Source organism: Homo sapiens, chromosome 2, assembly GCF_000001405.40.
Source record: "Homo sapiens chromosome 2, GRCh38.p14 Primary Assembly".
Classification (NCBI taxonomy): Eukaryota; Metazoa; Chordata; class Mammalia; order Primates; family Hominidae; genus Homo; species Homo sapiens.
In genome coordinates this window covers 147,180,916-147,189,802 of record NC_000002.12, presented here as the reverse complement: position 1 = coordinate 147,189,802, position 8,887 = coordinate 147,180,916, and the positions used below count along the sequence as shown (strand labels likewise).

General features: G+C 40.1%; 2 annotated features.

Annotated features, from left to right (window-relative positions):
* Positions 7,963-8,022: an enhancer, noted in NCBI's record as "active region_16610". NCBI's record gives its function as "activates an Ori minimal core promoter by ATAC-STARR-seq in GM12878 lymphoblastoid cells {active_cell/tissue: GM12878}" and the evidence as "EXISTENCE:reporter gene assay evidence [ECO:0000049][PMID:35858748]".
* Positions 8,053-8,102: an enhancer, noted in NCBI's record as "active region_16609". NCBI's record gives its function as "activates an Ori minimal core promoter by ATAC-STARR-seq in GM12878 lymphoblastoid cells {active_cell/tissue: GM12878}" and the evidence as "EXISTENCE:reporter gene assay evidence [ECO:0000049][PMID:35858748]".

Sequence of the window (8,887 nt, the reverse complement as noted above, 5' to 3'; positions counted from 1 at the left end):
TATTCTGGACTGTAATGTTTCTGCTAAGAAACCTGCTGATAATCATATGGGATTATCATGAAATACGACAAGTTGCTTTTCTGTTGCTGCTTTCAAGGTTTGTTTTTTTGTGATTTTGACAGCTTGATTACAATGTGTCTTAATATAAGCTTCTTTGGGTTTAATTAGTTTGAGTTCATTAAGCTTCTTAAATGTGAAGGTTCATTTTATTCACCAAATTTGGGAAGTATTTGGCCATTATTTCTTTACTGGCCTTTTTGTCCTTTTAGCTCTTGCTTGTCCTTCTGAAATTTTCATAATGCATATGTTGGTGTGCTTAATTGTATCCCACAAATCCCTTAGGCTTTCTTCACTTTTGTTCATTTTTTTTTTCTATTTGCTCCTCTGCCTCAATTATTTCAAATGATCTGTCTTCCAGTTCGCTGTTTCCTTTTTCTGCTTGATCAAATCTGCTGTTGAACCCCTCTATTAAAATTTTCAATTCACCTGTAATCTTAAGCTCTAGAATTTCTGTTTTTTAAAATACTTTCTTTTTGTTATTTTCATTTTGTTCTTGCAGCACTTTTCTGATTTCGTTTAGTTTTGTGTGTTCTCATTTTGCTCACTGAACATCTTTATGACAGTTATTTAAGATTTTTCTTTTAGGAAGCATGTAGATCTCCATTTCTTTGGGTTTTGTTTCTGTAGTTTTATTTTGTTCCTTTAATTGAACCATGTTTCTCTGTTTCTGTGTATAGTTTAAAATCATTTGTTAAAATTTGGACATTTGAAAAAAGTCACCTCTCCCAGTCTTTACTATCTTTTTACAGGGGAAGACCATTGCCAATCAGCCTAGCTGGATATGCTGGGGTCATCTTTTCTGGGGATGTATCTTTTCTGGGCTTGAGCATGTAATTCCCAACTAAAAGGTTTTGTTCCTATTTATTTTTAAGAAATATAAAATCTCGTGCTCCTTTTGTTGTCTTTGTGTAGTAACATAGTCTCTCTAAGGCTGCAACAAGTTCCTGCACTGGCCATTATTCTCAGTAGCCTCCAGACATTCAAACTATGCTGGTTCCTGTCAGTGCTCTCAGTCAGGCGAGACAGAAACTATTCCTTTGTCCATCCCCTGAAAACTAAAGTTTTTGGTTCACAATTTTTTCTTCTCTTTCCTTCCCAAGGTAGAAGCCGTGAGTTGGGAGTTTTCTCCTAATAGTGGTATGCTCCACTTGCTAGGGATGGGGCTATAACAAGTAAATGTAATGAACATTTTACTTTTCTTTTTATATGCTCCTTTTTTTATTATTATATTTTAAGTTCTGGGATACACATGCCAAACGTGCATGTTTGTTACATGGTATACATGTGTCATGGTAGTTTGCTGCATCCATCAAACCGTCATCTACATTAGGTATTTCTCCTAATGCTATCCCTCCCCTCGCCCCGTACCCCGCGACAGGCCCCAGTGTGTGATATTCCCCTCCCTGTGCCGATATGTTCTCATTGTTCAACTCCCACTATTGAGAGAGAACATGCGGTGTTTGGTTTTCTGTTCTTGTGTTAGTTTGCTGAGAGTGATGGCTTTCAGCATCATCCGTGTCCCTGCAAAGGACATGAACTCATCTTTTTTTATGGTTGTATAGTGTTCCATGGTATATATGTGCCACATTTTCTTTACTCAGTCTATCATTGATAGGCATTTGGGTTGGTTCCAAGTCTTTGCTATTGTGAACAGTGCTGCAATAAACATACGTGTGCATGTGTCTTTATAGTAGAATGATTTATAAGCCTTTGGGTATATACCCAGTAATGAGATTGGTGGGTCAAATGGTATTGCTAGCTCTAGATCCTTGAGGCATTGCCACACTGTCTTCCACAAGAGTTGAACTGATTTACGCTCCCACCAACAGTGTAAAAGCGTTCCTATTTCTCCACATCTGATCCAGCATCTGTTGTTTCCTGACTTTTTAATGATCGCCATTCTAACTGGCATGAGATGGTATCTCATGGTGGTTTTGATTTGCATTTCTCTAATGACCAGTGATGATGAGCTTTTTTTAATATGTTTCTTGGGCACATAAATGTCTTCTTTTGAGAAGTGTCTGTTCATATACTTTGCCCACTTTTTGATGGTTTTTTTTTTTTCTTATAAATTTGTTAAGTTCCTTGTAGATTCTGGGTAGTAGACCTTGGTCAGATGGATAGATTGCAAAAATTTTCTCCCATTCTGTAGATTGCCTGTTCACTCTGATGATAATTTCTTTTGCTGTGCAGAGGCTCTTTAGTATAATTAGATCCCATTTGTCAACTGTGGCTTTTGTTGCCATTGCTTTTGGTGTTTTAGTCATGAAGTCTTTGCTCATGCCTATGTCCTGAATGGTATTGCCTAGGTTTTCTTCTAGAGTTTTTATGGTTTTAGGTCTTACATTTAAATCTTTAATCCATCTTGAGTTAATTTTTGTGTAGGTTGTATGGAAGGGGTCCAGTTTCAGTTTTCTGCATATGGCTAGCCAGTTTTCCCAACACCATTTATTAAATAGGGAATCCTTTCCCCATTGCTTGTTTTTGTCAGGTTTGTCAAAGATCAAATGGTTTTAGATGTGTGGTATTATTTCTGAGGACTCTGTTCTGTTCCATTGGTCTAGATATCTGTTTTGGTACCAGTATCATGCTGTTTTGGTTACTGCAGCCTTGTAGTATAGTATGAAGTCAGAAAGCGTGATGCCTCCAGCTTTGTTCTTTTTGCTTAGGATTGCCTTGGCTATACAGGCTGTTTTTTGGTTACACATGAAATTTAAAGTAGTTTTTTCTAATTCTGTGAAGAAAGTCAATGGTAGCTTGATGGCAATAGCACCGAATCTATAAATTACTTTGGGCAGTATGGCCATTTTCACAATACTGATTCTTCCTATCCATGAGCATGGAAAGTTTTTCTGTTTGTTTGTGTCCTCTCTTATTTGTTTGAGCAGTGGTTTGTAGTTCTCCTTGAAGAGATCCTTCACATCCCTTGTAAGTTGCATTCCTATGTATTTTATTCACTTTGTAGCAATTGTGAATGGGAGTTTACTCATGATTTGGCTCTCTGTTATTGGTGTATAGGAATGCTTGTAACTTTTGCACATTGATTTTGTATCCTGAGACTTTGCTGAAGTTGCTTATCAGCTTAAGGAGTTTTGGGGCTGAGATGATGGGGGTTTCTAAATATACAATCGTATCATGTGCAAACAGAGACAATTTGACTTCCTCTCTTTCTATGTGAATGCCTTTTGTTTCTTTCTCTTGCCTGATTGCCCTGGCCTGAACTTCCAATACTATGTTGAATAGGAGTGGTGAGAGAGGGCATCCTTTTCTTGTGCCAGTTTTCAAAGGGAATGCTTCCAGCTTTTGCCCATTCAGTGTGATATTGGCTGTGGGTTTGTCGTAAATAGTTTTTATTTTTCGAGATACATTCCATCAATACATAGTTTATTGAGTGTTTTTAGTATGAAGGGGTGTTGAATTTTATCGAAGGCCTTTTCTGCATCTATTGAGATAATCAGGTGGTTTTTGTCATTGGTTCTGTTTGTGTGATAGATTACGTTTGTTGATTTGCATATGCTGAACCAGCCTTGCATCCCAGGGGTGAAGCTGACTTGATCGTGGTCGATAAGCTTTTTAATGTGCTACTGGATTCGGTTTGCCAGTATTTTATTGAGGATTTTTGCATCGATGTTCATCAGGGATATTGACCTGAAATTTTCTTTCTTTGTTGTGTCTCTGTAGGTTGTGGTATCAGGATGATACTGGCCTTATAAAGTGAGTTAGGGAGGAGTCCTTCATTTTCTATTGTTTGGAATAGTTTTAGAAGGAATGGTACCATCTCCTCTTTGTACCTCTGGTAGAATTCAGCTATAAATCCATCTGGTCCTGGGCTTTTTTTTGGTTGGTAGGCTATTAATTAATGCCTCAATTTCAGAACTTGTTATTGGTCTATTCAGGGATTTGACTTCTTCCTGGTTTAGTCTTGGGAGGGTGTATGTGTCCAGGGATTTATCTGTTTCTTCTAAATTTTCTGGTTTATTTGCTTAGAGGTGTTTGTAGTATTCTCTGATGGTAGTTCGTATTTCTGTGGGATCAGCGGTGATATCCCCTTTATCATTTTTTATTATGTCTATTTGATTCTTCTCTCTTTTATTCTTTATTAATCTGGCTAGTGGTCTATCTATTTTGTTAATCTTTTCAAAAACCAACTGCTGGATTCATTGATTTTTTTTAAGGGTTTTTTGTGTCTCTATCTCCTACAGTTTTGCTCTGATCTTATTTATTCTTCTGCTAGCTTTTGAATTTGTTTGCTTTTGCTTCTCTAGTTCTTTTAATTGTGTTTTTAGGGTGTCAATTTTAGATCTTTCCCACTTTCTCCTGTGGGCATTTACTGCTATAAATTTTCCTCTGAACACTGCTTTAGCTGTGTCACAGAGATTCTGGTACATTGTGTCTTTGTTCTCATTGGTTTCAAAGAGCTTTATTTCTGCCTTCATTTCGTTATATACCTAGTAATCAGAGAGATCCTCTGTTACCTAGGTTGTTCAGTTTCCAAGTGGTTGTGCGGTTTTGAGTGAGTTTCTTAATCCTGAGTTCTAATTTGATTGCACTGTGGTCTGTGAGACTGTTTGTTATAATTTCCATTCTTTTCCATTTGCTGAGTAGTGTTTTACTTCCAATTATATGGTCAATTTTAGGATAAGTGCTATGTGGTGCTGAGAAGAACATATATTCTCTTGATTTGGGGTGCAGAGTTCTGAAAATGTCTATTAGGTCCACTTGGTCCAGAATTGAGTTCAAGTCCTGAATATCATTGTTAAATTTCTGTTTCGTTGATCTGTCTAATATTGACAGTGGGATGTTAAAGTCCCTCACTATTATTGTGTGGGAGTCTAAGTCTCTTTGTGCGTTTCTAAGAACTTGCTTTATGAATCTGGGTGCTCCTGTATTGGGTGTATATATATTTAGGATAGTTAGCTCTTCTTCTTGATCCCTTTACCACTATGTAATGCCCTTCTTTATCTTTTTTGATGTTTGTTGGTTTAAAGTCTGTTTTATCAGAGACTAGGATTGCAACCCCTGCTTTTTTTGCTTTCCATTTGCTTGTTAAATTTTCCTCCATCCCTTTATTTTGAGCCTATGTATGTCTTTGCATGTAAGATGGGTCTCCTGAATACAGCACACTGATGGGTCTTGACTCTATCCAATTTGCCAATCTGTGTCTTTTAATTGGGGCATTTAGCCCATTTACATTTAAGGTTAATATTGTCATGTGTGAGTTTGATCCTGTCATTATGATGCTATCTGGTTATTTTGCCCATTAGTTGATGCAGTTTCTTCATAGTGTCGTTGGTCTTTACATTTTGGTATGTTTTTGCAGTGGCTAATACCAGTTTTTCCTTTCCATATTTAGTACTTTCTTCAGGAGTTCTTGTAAGGCAGGCCTGGTGGTGACCAAATCTCTTAGCATTTGCTTGTCTGTAAGGGATTTTATTTCTCCTTTGCTTAGTTTGGCTGGATATGAAATTCTGGGTTGAAAATTCTTTTCTTTAACAACATTGAATATTGGCCCCTACTGTCTTCTGGCTTGTAGGGTTTCTGCAGAGAGATCCTCTGTTAGTCTGATGGGCTTTCCTTTGTGGATAACCTGGGCTTTCTCTCTGGCTGCCCTTAACATTTTTTCCTTCATTTGAACCTTGGTGAATCTGATGGTTATGTGCTTGGTATTGCTCCTCTTGAGGAGCAGCTTTGTGGTGTTCTCTGTATTTCTTGAATTTGAATGTTGGCCTGTCTTGCTGGGCTGGGGAAGTTCTCCTGGATAATATCCTGAAGCGTATTTTCCACCTTGGTTCCATTCTCCCCATCACTTTCAGGTATACCAATCAAACATAAGTTTGGTCTTTTCACATAGTTCCAAATTTCTTGATAGCTTTGTTCATTCCTTTTCATTCTATTTTCTCTAATGTTGTCTTCACCCTTTATTTCCTTAAGTTGATCTTCAATCTCTGATAGCCTTTCTTCCGCTTGACTGATTCCGGCTATTGATACTTGTGTATGCTTCACGAGGTTCTCTTGCTGTGTTTTTCAGTTCCATCAGGTCATTTATGTTCTTCTCTGAGCTGGTTATTCTAGTTAGTTCCTGTAACCTTTTATCAAGGTTCTTAGCTTCCTTGCCTTGGGTTAGAACGTGGTCCTTTAGCTTGGAGGAGTTTGTTATTACGCACCTTCTGAAGCTACTTCTGTCAATTCATCAAACTCATTCTCCTTCCAGTTTTGTTCCCTTGCTGGCAAGGAGTTGTGATCCTTTGGAGGAGAAGAGGCATTCTGGTTTTGGGAATTTTCAGCCTTTTTGCTCTGTTTTTTCCTCATCTTCATGGATTTCTCTACCTTTGGTCTTTGCTATTGGTGACCTTCGGATGGGGTTTTTGTGTGGTCATCCTTTTTTTTGATATTGATGCTATTGGTTTCTGTTTGTTAGTTTTCCTTCTAACAGTCAGGCCCCTCTTCTGTAGGTCTGCTGGAGTTTGCTGGAGGTCCACTCCAGACCTTGTTTGCCTGGGTATCACTAGCAGAGGCTAAAGAACAGAAAAGATTGCTGCCTGCTCCTTCCTCTGGAAGCTTCATCCCAGAGGGGCACCCACCAGATGCCAGCCAGAGCTCTCCTGCATGAGGTGTCTGTTAACTCAGAGCTGGCAGGCAGAACTGTTTAAGTCTGCAGAAGCTGCCCCCAGAGCTACCCCTTCCCCCAGGTGCTCTGTCCCAGGGAGATGGGAGTTTTATCTATAAGCCCCTGACTGGGGCTGCTGCCTTTCTTTCAAAGATGCCCTGCCCAGAGAGGAGGAATCTAGAGAGGCAGTCTGGCTACAGTGGCTTTGCAACACTGTGGTGGGTTCTGCCTGGTCCAAACTTCCCAGCAGCTTTGTTTACACTGTGAAGGGAAAACTGCCTACTCAAGCCTCAGTAATGGTGAACACCCTTCCCCCGACCAAGCTCAGGCATCCCAGGTTGGCTTCAGACTGCTGAACTGGCAGTGAGAATTTCAATACGGTGGATCTTAACTTGTTGGGCTCCATTGGGGTGGGATCAGCTGAGCAAGACCACTTGGCTCCCTGGCTTCAGCCCTCTTTCCAGGGGAGTGAATGGTTCTGTCTTGCTCGCATTCCAGGCCCCACTGGGGTGCAAAAAAAAAATTTCTGCAACTAGCTCACTGTCTGCTCAAATGGCCACCCTGTTTTGTGCCTGAAACCCAGGGCCCTGGTGGTGTAGGCACCTGAGGGAATTTCCTGGTCTGTGGGTTGCAAAAAAAAGCATAGTATCTGGGCCAGAGTGCACCATTCATCATGGCACAGTTCCTCACGGCTTCCCTTGGCTAGGGGAGGGAGTTCCCCAACCTCTTGCACTTCCTGGGTGAGGCAATGACTCACCCTGCTTCTGCTTGCCCTCTGTGGGCTGCACCCACTGTCTAACCAGTCCCAATGAGATGAACCGGGTACCTAGGTTGGAAATGCAGAAATCACCCGCCTTTTGCATTGGTCTTGCTGGGAGCTGCAGACCAGAGCTCTTCCTGTTTGGCCATCTTGCCTGGGAATCCTTTTTACCTGTTTTAATGCAGTTCTATTGGCTTAGTGCTAGCCTGGACTGCCACAACCTCTTACCTGGTTTCTTGTTTTCTCACAAAGGCAATTTGGTCTACTGACAACAATATACTTATTATTGTTAAGTCAGTGTTTTCAGGGGGAAAGGGGGCCGAGGGCCTCCTATTCTTCTATCTTGTTGACATTGGTTTTCCTAAGTTTTGTGGTTTTAATCTTCCCTAGTCCATTAGCTCTCTCCTCAGTATCATGGTAATCTTAAAAACCAACAGCCTTGCAATCACTATAGTCATGAAAAACAGCAACCTAATAGTCATGGGAAAGGACAGAATGAGTCTGGGCTACCCAAAGTTTTCATTCCCAGATAATTTTCATTATTTGACATGTAGGGGAGTTCCCTGGAAACCACCACTTGCAGAATTTGTCTTTATTTGCATTGCTTCAGGGCTTACTCAATCAGACAGCTTTTCCTCAGGAGCATTTTATCAATAAAATCAATGTCAATTGTTTAACATGTAAGCTGCAGAAGGTGGCAATAATAGTTGGGACAAACAGGAAGCAGATCAAAAAACATAAAAGAAAAGGCTGGGGAATGAGATGCCCATAGGAGGCTTTGAGAAACTAGAACACGTTTCTGAGAACTTAGAAGGAAACATACAGGTGTAGGCTTGTGCACATGTCCAGGAAAGCCCCTATTCTCTTACATCTGGTTGATGTTGAGGCTTTGTATAAATAGGAAGTGAAGACTAAGGAAGATGTATAAACTATCTGCTGGAACACTGAAGTTGCCTCAACACAAACACGAAGAGCTCTTCAGTAAAGATTGGGAGACTTACTGGTTTAAGTCATTTAAGAATCTTTCTATTCAATCACAGCAGATCATTAAGCTATGAAAGAGACTTCAGTGGCCACATACAATAAAGGTTATAGACTTTAAGTAATTAGTTCAATAATGTCATTTAGCAAACAAACATCAGCAACAGCAGCATAAAAAACAATAATTGCAGCAACAACAAACTGTATCAATACAAAAATCCTGGATGACTTGGCTGAATTTCCAGAGCTGGTATGTTATTACTGAGATAGCCAAATATAAAGGGGTCCCCGGAGACCCTCCAACCAGCCTGTGCTCTGGGAGGAGTGCAGACTGGGGTGGAGTCTCAGCAAGTTTGCACCATTTGCAGGGTGGAGAAGCCTAGCCCCTCCTGTTTCTCGATGGTAACATGGGATTCAATCTGTGAGATGGGGACCTGGTAACAGGACCCTCTCTCACTTTGCTGACTTTTTTTTTCCTT